The sequence below is a fragment of the Homo sapiens genome, chromosome 12 (assembly GCF_000001405.40).
Source record: "Homo sapiens chromosome 12, GRCh38.p14 Primary Assembly".
Classification (NCBI taxonomy): Eukaryota; Metazoa; Chordata; class Mammalia; order Primates; family Hominidae; genus Homo; species Homo sapiens.
Genome location: NC_000012.12, coordinates 104,555,210 through 104,578,562, shown reverse-complemented (window position 1 = coordinate 104,578,562; position 23,353 = coordinate 104,555,210). Strand labels below are relative to the sequence as shown.

Below are 23,353 nucleotides of genomic sequence, written 5' to 3'. Positions count from 1 at the left end.
GTCATCCCAGAGAGACAGCCAACGGACCCAGCGCTCTCATCACAATAGAGGCAGGGGGTTCTGAAAATGCAACCAGAAAGATAAAGATCTTAGGAAAGACACTCAAACAGAAAGATCTGCTCAGAGCCAAAGATTGATTCTACCCAAATGCAGGAAAAGAAAAATGGAGAAGTCACCAAATCTATAAATGATTTTCGGAAGAATATTCAATTCAGGAAAACTTATCGTTAGGTGTATTATATTACAAGGCATCTAGTTCAACGGAACTCGGGGTTCAACGACTGGGAAGATCCGAGCAGTGGCAAGTCAATGGGTCTGGAGACCAGGAAGTCAGTGATGGGCTGAGATCCTAACCAGCGATGTGACCTCAGGTCAGAACCACCCCCTGTTGCTGGGTCTTGATATCCTCATCTATAAATAAGGGGGGATTTAGTCTATATAAGATTCCTTCCGGCTGCAAAATTCACTACTTCTGCACCTCCCAGTCCACTCCCTTCTACCGCTGTGAAGTTCACCAAAATTCCACTGGCACCGTGCTCCAGCCCTGAACAGGCTGGCTTTTGTGGACTTCCCTCAGTGCATGGTAACCACAGAAATAAACCCAAATACACCAAAAAATGTAAAGGGGTCGTGAGTGCTGTTGTACTTATGAAGTCAGCAGTGTGAAATGTATAACAAGATTGTCTACAGATCTTTTGTTGACACGTGGTAAGAAAAATCTCCTCTTCAGTATAAAAAGGCCCATTTGTTTGGTTCTCAACCAGATCGGTCTTGAGTCAGCGGCATTTGAAACTGGAGCCCCAGTCATAACTGTGGGCTGCCCTTACCCGACACACACATAGGAGGAAAATTTGGATTTTTCACAGATATCCTCTATTCTGCCATGGGAGCCTAGGAAAGCAGGGGAAGTTGCCCTTGGCATTGACCAGACAATGAACTCATCATCCTGCTTCACCCAGAAATAGAAATGAAGTGTTAAACGTAGCTCACTAGTGTCTGCCTCAGCATTACAGACTGAAGTTAAGTTGCCTAAGAAAGTACAGAGTGGGAATGCTTACTTAATCCATGATAATGTAGCCTACCACCCCGATAATCCCACCACCCCACTGTCATCTGAAAGCACTTATTAAGCACCTAGTGTGTACACAGCCCTTCTTTCCTGGAGTGTTCCAAAAAGAGCTCTCAAGTTTGGGCTGCATGAACACAACGTGAATGTACTTCATGCCACTGAACTGTACACTAAAAATGGTTAAAATGGTAAATTTTATGTTATGTGTATTTTACCATTTTCTTAAATACCAAAAAAAAAAAAAAAAAAAAAAAAAAAATGAAGGGCTGCAGCCCTCAGATACACGAATCATACCGGTGCAAAACAGAAACACTCTGTCAGGCAGATATTTCCAGCACGTCCCCAAAGTGTCTGGGGCTGCTGATAATAACCTTTGCCCTGGCCCTGAGTGACCATGGTCTTTTGTTGAAGCACCCCACCTGGAGCCTTAGACTGAACCCACAGTCATTTCCACCCCTCTGGAGTCTTAGTACCGAGGTCCAGGGATTCTCCAATATGAATGTTCCTGGCACCCTCACCCCTGCAATGCCACCACCCTGAATGTCTTCCTCAGAGCACTGTCCCCACCCGACATGGCCTCATCCCTGTCCCCAGTTCCTCCTCCATCCCTTAATGGCAACATGAATGTTGGAGGAACGTGAATGTCCCTCAGCGCAGCCTGGAGTGGTGTCAATGCAGATTCCTAGGCCCCCAAAATCCAGATCCGGATTCAATAGGCCTATCTCGAGGCCCAGAAATCTGCCCTTTTAAACACATTCCAGGTGATTTTTAAGGATTTGGGAATGATTTAAAGGCCCTGGCTAAATGGAAGTGGGTGGTTGACCAAATGCAGCCTTCTCCTGGGCTTTGGAAATGACCAGAGACTGCAGCCATGGGAGGTGCTCCCAGCTCTTGCTCTCCAGTTCAGAGCTCTTCTCTGAAGAACTTCTCTGAAGAGTCCGTTGCTCTTTTCCAAGTTCTGTGAGGCCCCTGACCAAGTCCTTGAACAAGTAACAGGCTCATATATATGGTTCTGCCACCTTTCCCTTTCTAGTGGACGGTCACCCGGAACCAGAACTCCCAGATTCCAGGCCCAGCCCTCCACCACACATTTTGCATCACTGCACCTCAGTCTTCCCCTCTGCAAAATGGGCCTGCTAATACCTGCCCTGGCTTCCGCTAGGCCCACTGTGTCAGGGATTCCAGCCCCTGTTCTTCCAAGCGTGTGACCTTGGGCTCCTTAGGTTTCACCTCTCTGGGTCTCAGCTTCCACATCTTGAAAGCAGGAATAAACACAGTACTTAGTTCATAGAGTTCCTGGGAGGACACAGTAGGCTAAGGCAAGAAAAGCTCTCCTGCCACTGAGAAGCACAGTGAATACTTAACGTGAACCACCATCACGCCTGTGAGTAAGTTGACATGGATATACTGTACTTGGGAGGGAACAGGCATAAGAGAGAACAGTTCTCACACTTCTATTTTAGAGACCAAAGCTCATGCACACATGCCACCCACCCACCCGAGGGCCATGGTTTGTAATCACAGGGTGGGTGGCATTCGTGCATGAGCTTTGGTTTCTAACAATAGAAGACAAGAATGAATTTTGAAGAAGCTAACCCTTTTATTTACAATGTTGAGTTCCTCTACTCCCCAGGCAGAGACCAAGGAATACCCCGATAAGCAATTTCTGAGCACTGCCGAAGTAGGAAAGGGCAGGACGGGCCCTTCTGACGAAGCAGTGGCCTCCAAACCTGTTGCCTGCAGAACAGCCTCCTTCAGAAGAGGACCACTCTGTGGCTCGGCATCCTTTACCCTGACAGCTGGCTCATGCAGGCCAGGCTGCAACCTGCACTCCACCCAACCCCACAGAACAGCACCTGCTGGCCACTCAGCAGCTCACTCAGAACACACCCAGGAAACTTCCTTCAAACGGACAGATGTTCCTGCTCCCAGGCCTTTCTTTGCCTATCAGTTGTCTAAGTTAAGACCCCCTTCACCCGGATTATCACAGAGGACTCGCAGAGGCCTTCCTGGCACCCTCATCCCTGCAATGCCACTACCTTTCATGTCTTCCTCAGAGCACTGTCCCCACCTGACATGGCCTCATCCCTGTCCCCAGTTCCTCCTGCATCCCTTAATGGCAAGCTCCTGGGGCCTTTTCTGTTCATAGCAAGAACACTGTCTGGCACACAGCAGACACTCAGAAAATACTTGTTTACTGGATTGTGTATCCTGTTTAGGGCAAACACAAAGCCCCGTCACCCTGGGATCATCCCAGTTTATGCCTGTGGGCCTGTGGTCCTACACTCTTTTTTTTTTTTTGAGACAGGATCTCACTCTGTAACTCAGGCTGGGGTGCAGTGGCACAGTCTCGGCTCACTGCAACCTCTGCCTCCTGGGTTCAAGTAATTCTTGTGCCTCAGCCTCCTGAGTAGCTGGAATTGCAGGTGCATGCCACCACGCCGGCTCATTTCTTTGTATTTTCAGTAAAGATGGGGTTTCATCATGTTGGCCAGGCTGGTCTTGAACTAGTGAACTCAAATGATTCACCTGCCTTGGCCTCCCAAAGACCTGGGATTACAGGCATGAGTCACCACGCCCGGCCTCTACAGTCATTTTTAATAGTTCCTTTTTCTTTCTTTTTTTCTTTTTTTTTAATTATACTTTAAGTTTTAGGGTACATGTGCACAATGTACAGGTTTGTTACATAGGCATACATGTGCCATGTTGGTGTGCTGCACCCATTAACTCGTCATTTACATTAGGTATATCTCCTAATGCTATCCCTCCCCCAACCCCCACCCCACAACAGACCCCAGTGTGTGATGTTCCCCTTCCTGTGTTCAAGTGTTCTCATTGTTCAATTCCCACCTATGAGTGAGAACATGCGGTGTTTGGTTTTTTGTCCTTGCGATAGTTTGCTGAGAATGATGGTTTCCAGCTTCATCCATGTCCCTACAAAGGACATGAACTCATCATTTTTTATGGCTGCATAGTATTCCATGGTGTATATGTGCCACATTTTCTTAATCCAGTCTATCATTGTTGGACATTTGGGTTGGCTCCAAGTCTTTCCTATTGCGAATAGTGCCACAATTAACATGTGTGCATGTGTCTTTATAGCAGCATGATTTATAATCCTTTGGGTATATACCCAGTAATGGGATGGCTGGGTCAAATGGTATTTCTAGTTCTAGATCCCTGAGGAATCGCCACACTGACTTCCACAATGGTTGAACTAGTTTACACTCCCACCAACAGTGTAAAAGTGTTCCTATTTCTCCACATCCTCTCCAGCACCTGTTGTTTCCGGACTTTTTAATGATTGCCATTCTAACTGGTGTGAGATGGTATCTCACTGTGGTTTTGATTTGCATTTCTCTGATGGCCAGTGATGATGAGCATTTTTTCATGTGTCTTTTGGCTGCATAAATGTCTTCTTTTGAGAAGTGTCTGTTCATATCCTTCGCCCACTTGTTGACGGGGTTGTTTGTTTTTTTCTTGTAAATTCGTTTGAGTTCATTGTAGATTCTGGATATTAGCCCTCTGTCAGATGAGTAGATTGCAAAAATTTTCTCCCATTCTGTAGGTTGCCTGTTCACTCTGATAGTAGTTTCTTTTGCTGTGCAGAAGGTCTTTAGTTTCATTAGATTCCATTTGTCAATTTTGGCTTCTGTTCCCATTGCTTTTGGTGTTTTAGACATGAAGTCTTTGCCTGTGCCTATGTCCTAAATGGTATTGCCTAGGTTTTCTTCTAGGGTTTTTATGGTTTTAGGTCTAACATTTAAGTCTTTAATCCATCTTGAATTAATTTTTGTATAAGGTGTAAGGAAGGGATCCAGTTTTAGCTTTCTACATGTGGCTAGCCAGTTTTCCCAGCACCATTTATTAAATAGGGAATCATTTCCTCATTTCTTGCTTTTGTCAGGTTTGTCAAAGATCAGATAGTTGTAGATGTATGGCATTATTTCTGAGGGCTCTGTTCTGTTCCATTGGTCTATATCTCTGTTTTGGTACCAGCACCATGCTGTTTTGGTTACTGTAGCCTTGTAGTATAGTTTGAAGTCAGGTAGCGTGATGCCTCCAGCTTTGTTCTTTTGGCTTAGGATTGACTTGGCAATGCGGGCTCTTTTTTGGTTCCATATGAACTTTAAAGTAGTTTTTTCCAATTCTGTGAAGAAAGTCATTGGTAGCTTGATGGGGATGGCACTGAATCTATAACTTACCTTGGGCAGTATGGCCATTTTCACGATATTGATTCTTCCTATCCATGAGCATGGAATGTTCTTCCATTTGTTTGTATCCTCTTTTATTTCATTGAGCAGCGGTTTGTAGTTCTCCTTGAAGAGGTCCTTCACATCCTTGTAAGTTGGATTCCTAGGTATTTTATTCTCTTTGAAGCAATTGTGAATGGGAGTTCACTCATGATTTGGCTCTCTGTCTGTTATTGGTGTATAAGAATGCTTGTGATTTTTGCACATTGATTTTGTATCCTGAGACTTTGCTGAAGTTGCCTATCAGCTTAAGGAGATTTTGGGCTGAGACGATGGGGTTTTCTAGATATACAATCATGTCATCTGCAAACAGGGACAATTTGACTTCCTCTTTTCCTAATTGAATACCCTTTATTTCCTTCTCCTGCCTGATTGCCCTGGCCAGAACTTCCAACACTATGTTGAATAGCAATAAAGATCTAAAACTGACACCCTAACATCACAATTAAAAAGTAGAGAAGCAAGAGCAAACACATTCAAAAGCTAGCAGAAGGCAAGAAATACCTAAGATCAGAGCAGAACTGAAGGAGACAGAGACACAAAAAAACCTTCAAAAGATCAATGAATCCAGGAGCTAGTTTTTTTAAAAAGATCAACAAAATTGATAGACTGCTACCAAGACTAATAAAGAAGAAAAGAGAGAAGAATCAAATAGATGCAATAAAAAATGATAAAGGGGATATCACCACCGATCCCACAGAAATACACACTATCATCAGAGAATACTATAAACACCTCTATGCAAGTAAACTAGAAATTCTAGAAGAAATGGATAAATTCCTTGACACATACACCTTCCCAAGACTAAACCAGGAAGAAGTTGAATCTCTGAATAGACCAATAACAGGCTCTGAAATTGAGGCAATACTTAATAGCTTACCAACCAAAAAAAGTCCAGGACCAGACGGATTCACAGCCGAATTCTACCAGAGGTACAAGGAGGAGCTGGTACCATTCCTTCTGAAACTATTCCAATCAATAGAAAAAGAGGGAATCCTCCCTAACTCATTTTATGAGGCCAGCATCATCCTGATACCAAAGCCTGGCAGAGACACAACAAAAAAAGAGAATTTTAGACCAATATCCCTGATGAACATCGATGCAAAAATCCTCAATAAAATACTGGCAAACCGAATCCAGCAGCACATCAAAAAGCTTATCCACCATGATCAAGTGGGCTTCATCCCTGGGATGCAAGGCTGGTTCAACATATGCAAATCAATAAACATAATCCAGCATATAAACAGAACCAACGACAAAAACCACATGATTATCTGAATAGATGCAGAAAAGGCCTTTGACAAAATTCAACAACCCTTCATGCTAAAAACTCTCAATAAACTAGGTATTGATGGGACGTATCTCAAAATAATAAGAGCTATCTATGACAAACCCACAGCCAATATCATACTGAATGATCAAAAACTGGAAGCAGTCCCTTTGAAAACCGGCACAAGACAGGGATGCCCTCTGTCACCACTCCTAATAGCTCCTTTTTCTAGTCTAACCAGTGGCTGGATTTGATAATACATCTTGCACTGTTTTGATGAGAGGTGATACGGTCCAGGGGTTAGGAGCCAGAAAGGTCTGGAGTCAGACAAACTTCATCATCAGACCTGAGCTGCCACTTCCTCTTGTGTGGTGATCCTCACAAGCCATGACCCTCTCTGATCAAAGTGTCCACAGCACTTCAGGAGACTGAAAGCCTGTGTCTACAAGCACTGACAAGTGGGACGCTGGAGGCGTTCAGTCAACATTGTTCTTAATAATATTGTCTGTCGCCGGGTGCAGGACTCAGACCTGTAATCCCAGCACTTTGGGAGGCCGAAGCGGGCGGATCACCTGAGGTCAGGAGATCAAGACCAGCCTGACCAACAGGGGGAAACCCCATCTCTACTAAAAATACAAAATTAGCCAGGCATGGTGGCACATGCCAGTAATCCCGGCTACTTGGGAGGCTGAAGTGGGAGAATCGCTTGAACCCAGGAGGCAGAGGTTGCAGTAAGCTGAGATCGGGCCATTGCACTCCAGCCTGGGCAATAAGAGCAAAACTCCATCTCAAAAAAAAAAAAAAAATTGTCTGTCCTCCAAAGACAAACTACTGAGTCCACCACCTGCTAGCTATGTGACCTCAGCTGATTAACTTATCCTCTCTGCCATTTTCTCATCTCCAAGATGAAAACAAGAATTCCTACGTTCCAGGCTGGTTTTGAGAATTATTAGATGATATCATTCAGGAAAAGCACAGTGCGCTGGGTGAGGTGGCTCACGCCTGTAATTCCAGCACTTTGGGAGGCCAAGGTGGGTGGATCACCAGCAGTCAGGAGTTCGAGACCAGCCTGGTCAACATGGCGAAACTCCGTCTCTACTAAAAATACAAAAAATAGCCGGGTGTGGTGACAGGCGCCTGTAATCCCAGCTACTCAGGAGGCTGAGGCAGGAGATTCACTTGCACTTGGGAGGGAGAGACTGCAGTGAGCAGAGATCACGCCACTGCACTCTAGCCTGGGTGACAGAGCGAGACTCAGTCTCAAAAAAAAAAAAAAAGTGCAGTGGCTTACATATACTGAAACTGAATAAATGGTAGCAATTGTTAATACTGTTGCTATTCCTTCTAAATTCCCGAGTTGCTTGAAGGCAAGAATCTTGTGTATCCACTTCTGTATCCCTAATACTAAATGCCTGGCACATTTTCTTGCAGGAAGGAAAGGAGTAGGCTTCTTCCTGAGGTCCTGCCATGCTCATCCCCAGTGAGCTTGGTTCCTGATTTCAGAGAGAGGCATAGATGGGACACCAAGAAGGCACGTGGCTTGGGTGGGCTGCACAGTGCTGAAAGGTGGAAAGAGGATCTGCTGGAGTGTGGAAGGTTTACAGACGGTAAAATCTGCAGCTGCTCACACACCTACTAGTGGGAGGGGGAGGCTTGCGAAATGTTAAAAATGAGTCGATTTTCTCATATACAACAAGAACAACAACGAAGACAGTGAGGAAAAGAGGAATAAACAAGGTGTGGGTGGAGAAAAACAGGTACCTGAGCCTGGCTCTTGTGAAACAGAACCCTTTAGGAGTAGAGGTGGGGTGGGGAGGGCAGTCACTGGTTTAATACAGATCCTCCCAAATAGGCTGGATCACAGCCGAGCTTACAGATGCTCACTTTGGACTCCTCTGACACCACCAGAGAGATCAAACCCCAGGATATGTTGGTTTTGTAGGTTGTCAGACACGTCAAGACCACTAACTGTTTCTATCAGAATGTAGAAATGTTGCAGACCGTGGAGGGGGCTGTTCAGATGGCCCAGCACTCTGACCGCATGCAAAGGAAGTTCCTTTCGCAACCCGTCCTCTTCCTCCAACTGTAAAGTAAGATTATGAAGCAGAATCAAGAGCCTACACTGAACCTCAAAAGGGAAAGCCCAGGGTTGGGGACTCCCAGTGCAGCATGGTCAATGGTGCCACCCCAATACCACCTGCACCAACATCACCTTCAATAGCAGGACTTATTCCCCTGTGGCTCCATAAACTGGGCAGATCAATGGAGAAGGTGCAGCCTGAAAACCCTGGAGGCATCCCCTAGAATCTGGGCCCCAAATTCCTAGCTTGGAATCTCCCCCACTTCATTATGTTCTTACCCCAGGCATAACAGTTCTGCTGCTGATCAATCCAATAGGTCTGCTGTACCTAAGAGCTATGATGCACTCAGCCACAGAGCTCTGTGTGATGAAGATGCAAAATGGACTCAGACATCCTCTGAGCTCTTCCCCTAAGTTTTGAAGGTAACTGCTCAGGACAGAAAACTGAGATTGTAAGAGACACTGGTCTCGAAGTGAACTGTCCACAAATCCTGAGGATCGTTCCTTTGAACAAATGTATCTGGTTGTTTTTGTTGTGTGCATTTTTTTATTCAGAATATAAAATATTCTGAAAAGCTATGGAGTCTCACAAACTGAGCTCTAGTAACTAAGACGGTAACTCCAGGAGGGTTCTCTATTCCTAGAATTTCTTCCGTCAGAATAACCAAGTTGAGAGGTTTGTCAAATTTTGTTTCATAAGCTAGTAGTTTCACTTTTATTTAGAATCTAGAGCCAGACAATTGGGTTCCAGTCCTGTCACATCCTGGCTCTGTGACCGTGGATACTAACCCTCTCCATGCCTCAGTTTTCTCCTCTGCAAAATGGGGATGAAAATAATAATACTTACCTCTCAGGAGTGTTGTGGGGATTAATGAGCTAATACATGAGAGCAACTAGAAGAGTACCTGGCATACTCTTAGGTACTTTATTCAGTCAGTATTTAATAAATGTCGCTACATACATAGACTGTCTTAAAGAGCTAATGACCTACTTTTATTTTTAAAGATCTCCAATGGTAGGTTTCAACTTTTAGTTTAGAAATACAGAGGCAGTATAAAATAGTGGTTAAGAACATGAACTATAAAGCCATATTGCCTGGGATTGGATCCCAGCTCTGCCCCTTTTTCACTGTGTTAATTTGGTCAAGTTACTTAACCTCTCTGAGCTTTAGTTTCCTTATCTGTAAAATGGAGATAATACTGCCTGCAGGTTTAAGTGAGTTGATAAATACAAGCCACATTATAGATAATAGTAGAGATGACAGGTGCCGCTGTCATTGTATCTCTAGGGGAGGTCCCATCAGCAGCTCCCATGATCACATTTGTAAAATGCCAAGATGCCATTCAAAGTCCCAGGAAGCAACTAGGCAGCCAGCCATTCTCTTCCCATCTCAGCTCTGTTGGAAGTTGCTGACCTACAGCTCATCAGTAAATGTGTACCAAGCAGAAATCAATTAAAATCAGCCACACTTGCTGCTGCAGTCTCCTCTGTTCCCATCCCATGGCAGGGCTGAGGGCTAAGGAGGCAGACAGAGGAGCTGTTGCAAGGACAGTGGGAGGGGGGCCACTGGCACAGTACCTCTTGCTGCTCCATGGCAACGGTAGCTGCTAGACAGCAGAGCAGCAACAACACACTGCAGCAAGAGAGGAAAGTCTGACTCCTCTCGCCAGGCAAAGCACCAGGCCATTCACAAGGCCAGAAGACAGGAAGACCCCGGCCCTAAACAGCAGCCCTGATCATGGGACCCAGCCCAACCTCTGACTCCTGGCATAGAAAAACAACACACATACGAGTCCTTCCTCCAGGCTCACCTGCCCTGGGAAGCCACAAATCCACAGACAAACTTGGTATCTCTGTCTTAGTCTACTCCTGCTGCTATAACAAAATATCCTAGACTAAGGAATTTATCAATGTATTGCTCACAGTTCTGGAGGCTGGGAAGTCCAAGATCAAAGCAATAGCAGATTCGGTGTCTGGCAAGGCACCAAACAGTGATGCCTTCTGTGTCTTCACATGGCAGAGGGGTGAAGAGGCTCCCTCAGGCCTCTTTTATAAGGGCACTAATTCCATTCATGAAGGCAGAGCCCTCAAGACCTAATCACCTCCCAATACTATTGCATTAGGGATTAGGTTTCAACACTTGAATTTGTGGGGGGTACACAAACATTCAGACCATGGCAACCTCTAAACTTTGCACACAGCTCATGGGCTGTGTGACCCTGGATCCTTGCTCAACATTGTCAGGTACACAGGAAAAAATTCACAGGAGAGCTCATGCTAGGTGGAGCTGTGAGGCTCTCACTGGGGACAGAATTAAGTGTTTCAACAGGAATGGAACTAGAGGTACTTTGGGCAGGCAGCAGAGGGGAAGATTCCTGGAGAAGGGAGCTGGATCTTAAAGGACAAAAGGAAATAAAGGAAGAGGCAGGGAGAGAGGGACAGACATAAGCCTCATAAAACATCCACCCAGGGAACACCTTTCTACCCAAAAAGAAACTAATCATTTCAAACAAATGTTTCTCTACCCTCTAGGAAAGGATTGCATTTTCTGCCAGATCTGATTGAAGCAGGCAGATATTTTGTAACTGCACCTCCTTGCCTAGCAAAAAATGTTCCAACTTGTCAGTCATCCTCCATCTCAGGTGCATTCTGCCTGCTCCAGGTGATGTGGCCCATCTGACACATGCAGCTCATTTTCCCAAATATTCCTGCAGCTCAAACTGGCAAGCGTAAGGGATACACTACTTTGTCAGTGTGATAGTGTACTCCATTCTTTAGAGACAGCAACAAGTTTTGCAAATTGGTCCTGATAAAGAACCTCAGATTTAAATGTATTGGGCGGGAGGTGTTCCATCAGGAACAATTTGCAAAACTTGCCAACATAAAATTTACATATACATGTGTGTGTATATATATTTATATTCATTCACCTTACAAGAAGACTGCCTTACACTAGATACTTAAGTCTCTGGGTCTCAATTTCTATAACTATAAAAGTATATATTTTCTCAGGCTCAGGCACTATGGGGAAAAGATTCTAAGGTTCCATTCAGGTTCAGCACAGAGAAAGGTGCTGGGATCCATTAGTGATGTCTGCCGTACTCACACTAGGGGAACATGGGAGGTGTATGTACCTGTAGGTGTTTGTAATTTCCCGAACAGAGGGTAATTTCGACTTTCTAAAGACCTATTCTTTCAAACATTCTGAGCATTGAGTTATAAAGGCCACACTCATGGGTTCAAAGGAGTCCCTCTGCTGCAAAGAGAGGAAAAAGGCTGTCTGTGTTGAGAAGATCCCTCCAGAACCCACCCTCACAATCCCTGAGAGCACACCCCACAGGTCCTCAGGTGAAAGTCACAAAGTTGCTCCTCTGCCAGGACCTGTGGGGATGGAGGACTATCTCCCAGCATGAGAAACCAAGCGTTTTTGTTCAGCTGTTGAGTCACAGTAACTCCTGTGTGAGTCTAAAATTATTTCCATTATGAGTGGCTTTCATTTTGTAGGCAGACCGCCCCCCCACCCCAACCGCTAGATGCAATTTAGAAGAAAGAGCAGAGAAAGGAGAATTTCACACAAGTGACAATAAGGACTGGAATAGACTTTGAGATAGGGCTTAGGGGAAAGAACAGAGAAAGAAGTAATTTATGGGGGACCATAAAGCCTCAAAACCTCTCAGTGAAGAATATTCTAGATTCCCATTAGAGCAGTGACACTGAGGCACAGAGTCATCAGGTTAACTCTCATGAACATCACACGGCCAGAGAATGGCTTCCAAGCCCTTGTTTTTTGCATGCCACAGTCATGCTGCCTGGACATACTCCAGAAGGCTGAGTGTGTCCAGAGAATCTAGAACATTCACAGGCCTAGGAATGGAGGCAAAAGGGGAAGCACAAAGGAGTGAGAATGTGGCTGCCACACAGACCATCCCTGCTCTCCCAAGAAACGTGGTAAGCACACGCCTGCAGGTTCTGTCCCAACTTCTCAGCAACCATAGCCATTTCCCTGTGGCAAACACAGGGAGAAAGTGGTACACAGTGTTCCTTTCTCTCTAAGAGGTGAGCCAGAAGTCTGCCCAATTTCAAGGGCCTGCTGAGAAGAACAACAGAGCACCCTAATTAGCCCAGGTTTCCTAACAACTATGCTGGCGATGCCGGAGCCGCACAAATCCCCTGGGTCTCCTCATCCTGGAGCATTTGTTCTGTCTCTTACTCCCTGCCCCGCTGCCTGAAGACTCCTCAAATACTGGTGATAGAGCGTCTTAGTGCTGGGGGCCTCCTGAGCCATGGGTTAATACTCAGGTAGACAATTTACAAAAGTCCTAGAGGCCAGGCACAGTGGTTTATGCCTGTAATCCCAGCACTTTGGGAGGCCGAGGCAGGTGGATCACTTGAGGTCAGGAGTTCGAGACCAGCCTGGCCAACATGGTGAAACCCCGCCTCTACTAAAAATACAGAAATTAGCCCAGCATGGTGGCACGTACCTGTAGTCCCAGCTACTCGGGAGGCTGAGGCAGGAGAATCGCTTGAACCTGGGAGGTGGAGGTTACAGTGAGCCAAGATCATGCCACTGCACTCCAGCCTGAGCAACAGAATGAGACACTGTCTCCAAAAAAAAAAAAAAAAAAAAAAAAATCCTAGAAAACATGGAGGCTGCCCAGGTGGTCCCAAGAGTCCCTTCCAGGATAGGAATTCAGAGGTAGATACAGCTGGTTTCTCCACCTACCACCATTCGCCACCAGGGAGCCCTTGAGTCCCCACCACTGGAGTCACCCTAGATGTGAATGGCAAATTATCTTATTGGGGGGAAAATAATACTGATGTGGTTTGGCTGTGTCCCCACCCAAATCTCATCTTGAATTGTAGCTCCCATAATCCCCACATGTCACAAGAAGGACCTGGTGGGATGTAATTGAATCAAGGGGGTGGGTTTTTCCTGTGCTGTTCTCATGATAGTGAGTAAATCTCAAGAGATCTCATGGTTTCATAAAGGGCAGTTCCCCTGCACACACTCTCTTGCCTGCCACCATGTAAGATGTGCCTTTGCTCCTCCTTCACCTTCCACCATCATTGTGAGGCCTCCCCAGCCATGTGGAACTGTGAGTCCATTAAATCTCATTTTCTTTATCAATTACCCAGTCTCGGGTATTTCTTGATAGCAGTATGAAAATGTACGAATACAAATACATTGGCAAAGGATCACCGATGTGCATCTTGGACAATTCTATCCTTAGGCAGACTTGGGGAAAAAAGAGGCAAGATTTAACAAGGCTTAATATTGGGAGGGAACTAGGCTCCAAGAGCCTTGCAGTGAGGGGCCACAGGAATAATATCATAACACCAACAGTTACATTGTTTGCAGACCCGCTAAACCCTGAGCACTGTGGTTCCAGCTTCAGAGGCACTATCTCATTTAATTCTCTCAAGAGCACCATGAGGTGGACACTATGATCTCTACTTTAGAGATAAGAAGCTGAGGGATTGAGAGATGAGATGACTTGCCCAAGGCAACACACTAATTGTCATTCGTCCAACACAGATTTATTCCACATGTGCCTCCCGCACTGTCCCAGACTGGGAGCCACAGAGTGGCAAAGTGGGATCTACACCCAAGTGTTTGGACTCTGGAGTGTGTCTGGGCTTCTGTAATGCCCCAGTGGGCTGGTCCCCACAGGGAAACATCAGGTGTTTGCTGAACTATGAAGACACACCGAGGAGACCCACCTGGGAAGCTCAGGTCTCAGCCCACTCTGGGGGGTGCTCATCCTTGGAGCTGCAGAAAAGGGGAAGACTAGGGGGAAACAGGGTTTTGTTAGAGCTCCTAGGGGCAGAGACTGAGTCTACCTGATCCTCGATGCTCCTGGGTGTCTCCACGTAGATCTCAAATAACTGTCCCAGGAACATATTCCAGCCACACCTTAGTAGTGCCAGACCCCAGAACCACTTACACAGAGGGTAACTAAGAGCAGGCTGTGGAGTCAAATGACAACTGAGCACCTATAAGAAACTGAGAAACGCTCCCCACCTGACCCATTCCAGGGCCAAGCAGAGCCTACTCCAAACCCCTCCCGAACCATACAACCCCAGAAAGCCCCTTACATGTGCGCTGAAAACCACCAAGAGCAAACATCCACAACCACTCCCACCAGATCCAGAACAAGAACACCAACCCCCACCATCTCAACAGTCTACCCCATGGAAGAAGGATGGGTTTATTTCCTGCCAATTTATCATGGAAAAGGTCATGTTCTGCGAGGCTATTAAACAAGCTAAAATTACATTTATGGATGAAAAGGCTATTATGACTGTTGAAGAATTCATGCATGGCACACTGGAGATAGTCAAGGTAAACAAAAAAGTTTTTAAGCTGATGGATGATGTGACCTAGGAAATACAAAGATGAATGAGACAAAGATCCCCAAGCTTTCTTAGGAGCATACAGCCCCTTGAGCGAGAGTGAAAAAGGCTACTATGGAAGTGATCACAACGACTGCTTTGAGTGTTTCCCTCATGCTGGACACGGTCTAAGCACAGCAGACACCATCAGCTCAACAATGGCCGAGCACAGTGGCTCACACCTGTAATCCCAGCACTTAGGGAGGCCGAGGCAGGCGGATCACTTGAGGTCAGGAGTTCGAGACCAGCCTGGCCAACAGGCAAAACCATCTCTACTGAAAATACAAAAATTAGTCAGGCTTGGTAGTGAGCGCCTGTAATCCCAGCTACTCGGGAGGCTGAGACACGAGAATCACTTGAACCCGGGGGGACGGAGGTTGAGTGAGCCAAGATCATGCCACTGCACTCCAGCCTTGGCAACAGAGCAAGACTACATCTAAAACAAACAAACAAACAAACAACAACAACAAAAAAAACCACTTCACAACAACCCTCTATGAGGTGAGTTCTGTTACTACCATACCCATTTCACAGATGGGGAAACTGAGGCACCAAAATGGTAAGCCAACACAGTGGAGAATCAAGAATGCCCCTTTAACCCATTATGTGCTTTGAGAAGGTGCCAAGAGGCAGACAAATGTCCAGTCGTCATGAATTGCCACCTCTGTTGCCTATATGAGAATTCACAAAGTCCTGTCCCTCATGCTCAGGTAGGGCCCCCAAAGACTCAGCCCTAACTCAACGTAGCTACCGGACCCTGGGCAGGCCCGGCAGGCAGGCTTTCTGGTCCTCTGTGAGATAAGGATTGGATTAATAATGCCTAAGCCCCCTTGAGCTCTAAAATCTTGCAACTAAACCAGGATACGATCACCTTTCGTTGGATAATGATTTTGATATCATTGAGAAATGGGTGCTGAATTCTAAACACACTAAACCAACCAATTTGCCAACAGGACAAAGTGCAGTCACTTTAGCCTGAGGAGACTTTTGAGTTTTGCTCTGGGCCAGGGAAGGTTCTGGAAGGCTCAAGCAAAGGCTCTGACCACTATTACGGGCTCTGCGCTTTTTCCTACCAGAGTAACTCAGGTGCAGGGGGAAGATGGCCTCATCTTCTCTGTGTTTACAGAGCTGCAGGTGACCCTCAAAGGCAGTAGGAAGTCTAAATCCCTTCGAAATGGTAATTCCCAAATCATATCTGTCCACCTAGAGCTGGTTTTCCTAACCCTGCCCACTTGACCTCTGTGGGACCTAAGCCCTCTCCTACCAGCATGAGCAGGCTCCTCCGTGGTGACCCGTATTTCTGCGAATCAATTCCATTTCGGGTGGATGACAGTGCTGCTAGGAACAACACCAACCAGAGCACTAGTGTCCCCTCCATGTCAGTGGCATTTCTGGAAACGAGGCCCAGCCAGGAAGGTGGGGGCAGAAAAACTAGATATATCCAGAGCAGAAACACCAGATTGGAACCAGGAGACTGGGCAGTAGGAGCTATTGAGGGTATGAGCTCTGGAGTCCAGCATTCCCAAGTTCCAATCCCTCCTCTGACTTCCCTAAGCCTCAGTCTCCCTAATCCCAGCTACTCCGGAGGCTGAGGCAGGAGAATCGCTTGAATCCGGGAGGCAGAGGTTGCAGTGAGCCGAGATCACACCACTGCACTCCAGCCTGGCGACTGAGTGAGACTCTGTCTCAAAAAAAAAAAAAAAATGGACCTAATAATGGGACCTACGCAGTAAGACCGTTGTGAGGATTAACCAGAAATAGCACCTATGAAACCCTTAGCGCAGTGGCTGGCACCAAGCAAGCATTCAATGACAATAATAATACAGAAGATACAGGGCGTTGTTTTCCATTAGACTCCAGCAGAATCAAATCATTTCCAATTCAAGCTGTGGGTGAGCCCTGAATCATTCCACTTCAAAATTCAGAATTATCTTTTATTTTGCTGTGGCAGAGACTTCACTTGTTCCCCAAAACCTGGTCTTGCCTTCTTTCATAGTGTTAGAAACTGAGTCAGGCACGCTGGTACCTAGAATAAAGACCAGCTAAAAACCCCTTTGAACAAGAAGTACACCACATGGCCCAGTTCTGGCCAATGGGATTATGAAGACACCCTTTGTCACTGTTCCCCCTTTCCCTGCAAGGGATAAGAATGTAGTGGAGAGCCATCCTGGGCTACATGGATAAGGTCAACCCTCAGTGTGGGGGCAGAACAACAAGATGGGAGGGGTCTGGGCTTCTGATGCCATGGCGTCGCCACATCAGGCCATGTCAGGACTGTTTAGTGAGAGATGAACTCCCATCTTCTGAAAGCCATTGCTATCTGGTTGCCATGGAATAGCAGCCAGTCCTATAACCTAATACACTCATGTTTCTTCATCTGACACTCACAAATAGCACATGAGTTTGGTAAAATTATCTTACTCATCTCGCAGATGGGAAAAAGTACCATAAGGAAGTTAAGTGACTAGTCTAAGCCAAGCCCCTCTAAGTCACTGAGCTAGAATTTCAGCTCCAATTTGAGCACTCTTCTCCCAGGTTATGTGACACTTCTGTTGCAGACTCTGTCCCCGGAAGACATGGCTGACCACAGCAATGTCACAGCAGAATTCGATTCACAGCAAATCCAGTGAGCACCTTGGCATTCTGCTAATTCCAAGAGACCCAGAATGCGTGAAATGCAGCCCCCATACTCAAGGAGCTCACAGTCTAATAGAAGGGTTTATAATGGAGGATGTAGCAGCAACAGTTTGCAAAGGGTTTTCAGATTCACTATGGAAAAGCAGAACAAGGACATCACCTGCAGAAACTAAGCTTGTAGAGGTTAAATGACAAATCCAAGACCACTCCATAAGTGGAGGAACTGGAACTAGAAACCTTATCTTTCAAATTCAAGTCTTGTGCCTTTTCTGCTGCCCAATTATAAAGTACCATAAAGTACTAATGCTGCCTGCTGAGGTATGACCGTCTCTTCCCACCCCTATCTCAAGATGCTTCCCGGTGCTGATCCATGTTTTTGAGTTTGAATAGCACACATCAAATTCACCCCATCAAAGACTGAATTCCTAGAAGGTACCATGAACCCCCCCATGGCTCAACCAAACCTTCCCACTCCTCTGCCATGTTGAATTCTTAGATTAACTACAAAGCAGTGCCTCTCTATCTATGAGCAGAAGGTAAACTGCAAACAGGGTTGAACAGAACCATATTCATACAACTGCCTTATCTTTTTTCAATACTAATTTGGTTTCCTGCAGGCCTTTCATGTGCATCTGGTCAATACTAACCTGGATTATAATCAATCAAACACCCAACCTTGACTATTAAGACCCTATGTAATCTAACCCTTGCCTGCCTCTCCCACCCAATCCAGCCTCATCATTCCTCTAACATGCCTAGCTCATCCCCAACTCTGAGCCTTTGTCCTTGGTATTCCCTCTGCCACAAACACTCTTCCCTTAGAAATTCCCATGGCTCACCCTTCCCATCCCTTCAGTCTCTGCTCAAAAGCCACCCTTCAGGGAAGACTTCCTCAACGGTACCTTCCAAAATATTAGGTTGGTGCAAAAGTAATTACTGTTTTCTCCACTACTTTTAAAATGGCAAAAACCACAATTACTTTTGCACCAACCTATAGCTTTCCCACTTCATCACTCCATTTCCTAGCCCTGCTTAAATGGCATTCTTCATTACCCCAAATTATGTTATTTACCATGCATGTGTTTATTTTATTTTATTTTATTTATTTTATTTTTTTGAGATGGAGTTCCACTCTTGTTGCCCAGGCTGGAGTGCAATGATATGATCTTGGCTCACTGCAACCTCTGCCTCCCAGGTTCAAGCGATTCTCCCACTTCAGCCTCCAGAGTAGCTGGGATTACAGGCGCCCACCACCATGCCCGGCTAATTTTTGTATTTTTAGTAGAGAGGGGGTTTTACCATGTTGGTCAGGCTGGTCTCGAACTCCTGACCTTAGGTGATTCACCTGCCTTGGCCTCCCAAAGTGCTGGGATTACAGGCATGGGCCACCGCGCCCAGCCGTGTTCACTTGTTGACAGTCTGTCTTCCCCACCAGAATGGAGGCTCCATGAAGGGAGGGACTTTGTTTACTTTAATGCCATCTCCTTAGTCCTGGAATGAAGGCTGGCACATAGTAGGTGCTCAGTAAGTACTTGAGAAGTGAATGGATGAATTAATTTGTTGAACATTTACTACATGCCAAGTACTGTGCTAGGCTCTGGGGATACAGCAACTGAAAAACAAAAACAAAATACTATCCCTGTCCTTGAGTTTACAGCTTAGAGAGGCGATACCTAGAGAGGTAGCCAAGCCCAGAAGTGCTAGGAGAGTCCCATGGTGTTCTGGAAGCACAGAAAAGACAACACCGTCCCTGTTCCCACCCCACTGATTGATACTGGGGAACCACAGCTCCTCCCTCTCGGTGGGAACACAACCTTGTAAGACACACTCCTGCCTCAGAAGCCTACCGTCCAGAAGCAGATTGCACCCACCTCCAATGGAGAATGCAGCTGTGCTATTAAGATGGGTTTGTTACTCACCTGCTTAGGAAGCAGTCACCCACATAGAAACCTAAAATCATTTTTGAAAAGTCTCTATTAGAGATGCTCCTGGTGCCCGAGGACTTAGAATTAAAAATTTCTAGGCCAGGTGCGGTGACTCAAGCCTGTAATCCCAGCACCTTGGGAGGCCAACGTGGGCAGATCACTTGAGGTCAGGAGTTCAAGACCAGCCTTGGCAACATGTTGAAACCCTGTCTCTACCAAAAAATACAAAATTAGCTGGGCGTGGTGGCACACACCTGAAGTCCCAGTTACTTGGGAGGCTAAGGCAGGAGAATTGCTTGAACCCAGGAGGTGGAGGTTGCAGTGGCCCAAGATCGCGCCACTGCACTGCAGCCTGGGGGACAAGAGTGAGAACCTGTCTCGGGGGGGCGGGGGGGGGAATTTCTGCTGAACAGAGAGAATGACAATAGTCAACAGAATTAATTCTGTACACTTTGGGAGGGGAGGGGCGGAGAGGGTACAGAAATGGGGGCCTCCAATTTGCAGGAATTGGTACAATTCAGATGAACATCATTCAGAGAATAAGGAGACTTCGAGCTCCCTCCCCAGCTTTTCCTTAAAACAAATCATAAAGACAGGTACAGAGAAGGGGCCTAGGAGACAGCCAGGCAGAGGGCTAGGGGCTCGGTTTCAAGAAGTCTCATCTACCTCAAGTCACAGACAGGTGCGAAGGCTTCGACAGGTCCCGCTCTGGCCCTGGCATGCCCACCAGCAGGGACAGCGTCAGCTCTTCCCTTTATTCACCCAGGCTGCTGGGGGAGGCAAAGAGGCAGAGGGGGTGCTTTGTGAAAGTCAAGGCTGAAATATTGATGAGGGGGAGTAACTGCACATCTCCACGGCTGGAGGACAGAAGCTGCTGCTGCGGCTGGAAAAGGTCCTCTCCGCACAGCAGAGCTGGTCCTCTCTGGCCCTGGGTGGAACTGCACTCAGCTTCAGCCCTGGGCCTCTGTACAGGTTGTCCCCACCCCTGAAATGCATCCCCTGCTTTCCTGCCTCTATACTTCCTTCCCCCAAGTCAGACCTACACCCCCACGAAGGCTTCTCTGATTGCTCCAGCCCACACTGGTTGAGAATCACAGAAACCTGGGGAAGCTTCAGGATTAATTTCGTTCCCACATTTCCCTGGGAGAAGAATCCGCGGTCAGTGAGATGGAGTGAGCTGGTTTCCTCGCCTCTCTTCCCACTTCCTTCCCTCCCACCATGCTCTTGCTCCTCCTAGGGACAATCCACCCTCCTTCGCTACAGACTCCTTCAATTCACTCAACAAATGTTCCCTCCTCTCCCGCCCTCTCCCTTTGAGAGCAAGGCCTGCCCACCTGACCACCTGGATTCCTGTCCAGCCGCCCTCCTCTCCCCTCTGGGCTTCAGGCCCTGCTCCTCTCCCCTGGGCCGTCATTATCTGAGACCCAGGCCGGTGCCCCCCTTCTCCTGTCCCCGCCCGGTGCATCCCCCTCCCAATGCTCACCATGCACTCTGACCATACACACCTCCACTTCAGCTCCTTCAATGGCTCTGCCTAGTCCAGGATCAGGTCCAAAGCCTTTACCAAGGCCTATAAGCCCCTCATGACCTGGCCTCTCCAGCAACCAGGTTCCCAGCTGGTGATGAGCGGTGAAGGAGCCCTGTTCCCAGGTGCACAGCCCAGAGAACCAGAAAGAGGCAGAAGTGAGTTCACTTCCCTTCAGCCCAACTCCGCCCCTGCACATTCCCGCCTTACAGACATCCCCACTGTTGTGGGTTGAATTTTGTCCCCGAAAAAGAAATGTCCAGGTCCTAACCAACCAGTACCTATGAATGTGACCTTATTTGGAAACAGGGTCTCTGCAAATGTCATCAAGTTAAGATAAGGTCATACTGGAGTAGTGTGAGCCCTAATCCAATATCCAATGACTGGTGTCCTTACAAGAAGAGGGAAATCTTTTTTTTTTTTTTTTTTTGAGACAGAGTCTTGCTCTGTTGCCCAGGCTGGAGCGCAATGGTGCAATCTTAGCTCACTGTAGCCTCCACCTCCTGGGTTCAAGCGATTCTCCTGCTTCAGCCTCCTGAGTAGCTGGGACTACAGGTGCATGACACCACACCTGGCTAATTTTTGTATTTTTGGTAGAGACAGGGTTTCACCATGTTGGCCAGGCTGGTCTCGAACTCCTGACCTCAGGTGATCCGCCCACCTTGGCCTCCCAAAGTGCTGGGATTACAGGCGTGAGCCACCGCACCCAGCCCAAGAAGAGGGAAATCTGAATACAGAGACACACATGGAAGGAAGACAGTGTGAAGACAGAACACACAGGGCAGAATGTCAGGTGAGGATAGAGGCAGAGCCTGGAGAGACGTGTCTACGGGCCAGGGAACACCAAGGATTGCCAACGACCACAGAAGCCAGGAGAGAGACATGGGAAAGATTCTTCTTCAGAGCCTCCAGAAGGAACCAAGCCTTCATCTCAGACTTCGAGCCTCCAGAACCATGAGAGGATAAATGTCTGTTTCAAGCAACCCACTTTATGATAATGAGAATTTGTATGGCAGCCCTGGGAACCTAATATACCCACCCTGCCAAACTCCAGGATCACAGGGATCCTCTTCCTGTAGCCCTCATATAATCTCTTAGCTGGGAAAAGGGGGGCTTTGGAGCCAGCTGAACCACCTAGAATAAGTCTCCTGAGGTCTCAGAGCCTCAGTTTCTCCTCTGTAAAATGGGGTCCCACAGGGCCCCACACCATCTTAGATGTTAGAGATAATACATGTAACTAACTTATACAGAATAAAAAAATAAACAAGCATCAGCTGCTGCTATTCCTGTGCCTTGTCTTTCCAGCGGAGGGGGGTCTTTCTGGTCCCTCCAAAGCTCATCCCTGCATGTGCTCCACACCTGTACCACTGAGACCCCAAAATGTGGAGCTGCCTCGGTCAAGTGTTCCAGGGTCTGATTCAGGAGAGCTGCCCCTCCCACCACCTGATGGTAATCCCTCTCCCTTCCTTCCCGGAGGACAGACACCTTCCTTTCTCATCCACCTGGACTCCCTGCCCGGAGAGCAGCAGGGGCTGGACGCCCCCAGGGCTGCCTTTGTGCGGCTGCCAACACACAACCTGTTGCTTTTAAGAACAGGCCCCTTGCCAGCTCCAGCTGCCTCAGGGACAAGCTGTTTAATGGAGCCTAGAGTTGGCTCCAGGGAAGACAATGAATTTTAATGCTTCCGGACACAGCAGTCTGGCAGAACCCAGCCTCCCAGGCATGGCCATGAGGAGCTTAGAAATTGTGGGGCCCAACCCCCATCCTGGACCCCTGAGTTCAGGGTGGTTGGGCCACTTGTCCAAGATCCCACAGCTAGGGAGTGGCAATTAGTTCCCAAACCAGAGAGAACCAGCTGTTTCTCTGAGTCCTACACAGAACAGTGTCTTCTATAAAATTAAAAATATGCAGAGAAGACAGGAAATGATGGGGAAAGAGGCAAAAGGAAAGGTGTGTGCCTCCTGTCTAGAAGACGAATGAAGTATCTTCTCAGGTCACTCCAGATTACAGAAATTTAACCCACAAATCTAAAAAGTAAAAACCCTATTACAAAAATATATTTCCCCTTCTATGGGTCAACTCTTCCTTACCCTACTCATCTCCACTCCCCATTCTGCCCACCATTCCTACAGATACTCTTTTCCATGGGTTCCACCAGAGAATAGAGACATGGCCTCTGACATGGTGCCCTTTCTCTAGAG

The 23,353-nt window shown here is 47.0% G+C and overlaps 1 protein-coding gene across 4 annotated transcripts in view, besides 5 other annotated features; it reads right to left on the bottom strand.

Moving 5' to 3' along the window:
- Positions 1 to 23,353, bottom strand: part of CHST11 (carbohydrate sulfotransferase 11) — a 305,067-nt gene that overhangs the window by 183,452 nt on the left and 98,262 nt on the right. The window lies entirely within an intron of this gene.
- Positions 8,504 to 8,593: an enhancer, noted in NCBI's record as "active region_6924". NCBI's record gives its function as "activates an Ori minimal core promoter by ATAC-STARR-seq in GM12878 lymphoblastoid cells {active_cell/tissue: GM12878}" and the evidence as "EXISTENCE:reporter gene assay evidence [ECO:0000049][PMID:35858748]".
- Positions 12,337 to 12,396: an enhancer, noted in NCBI's record as "active region_6923". NCBI's record gives its function as "activates an Ori minimal core promoter by ATAC-STARR-seq in GM12878 lymphoblastoid cells {active_cell/tissue: GM12878}" and the evidence as "EXISTENCE:reporter gene assay evidence [ECO:0000049][PMID:35858748]".
- Positions 20,317 to 20,486: an enhancer, noted in NCBI's record as "experimental_23947 CRE fragment used in MPRA reporter constructs". NCBI's record gives its function as "activates a minimal promoter by MPRAs in K562 erythroleukemia cells, with activity observed for both the introgressed and non-introgressed 12:104951940 variant alleles {active_cell/tissue: K562}" and the evidence as "EXISTENCE:reporter gene assay evidence [ECO:0000049][PMID:34662402]".
- Positions 20,747 to 21,581: an enhancer, noted in NCBI's record as "H3K4me1 hESC enhancer chr12:104950760-104951594 (GRCh37/hg19 assembly coordinates)". NCBI's record gives its function as "activates a minimal SCP1, AML or CMV promoter by ChIP-STARR-seq in naive H9 embryonic stem cells {active_cell/tissue: H9 hESC(naive)}" and the evidence as "EXISTENCE:reporter gene assay evidence [ECO:0000049][PMID:30033119]".
- Positions 22,743 to 23,245: an enhancer, noted in NCBI's record as "H3K4me1 hESC enhancer chr12:104949096-104949598 (GRCh37/hg19 assembly coordinates)". NCBI's record gives its function as "activates a minimal SCP1, AML or CMV promoter by ChIP-STARR-seq in naive H9 embryonic stem cells {active_cell/tissue: H9 hESC(naive)}" and the evidence as "EXISTENCE:reporter gene assay evidence [ECO:0000049][PMID:30033119]".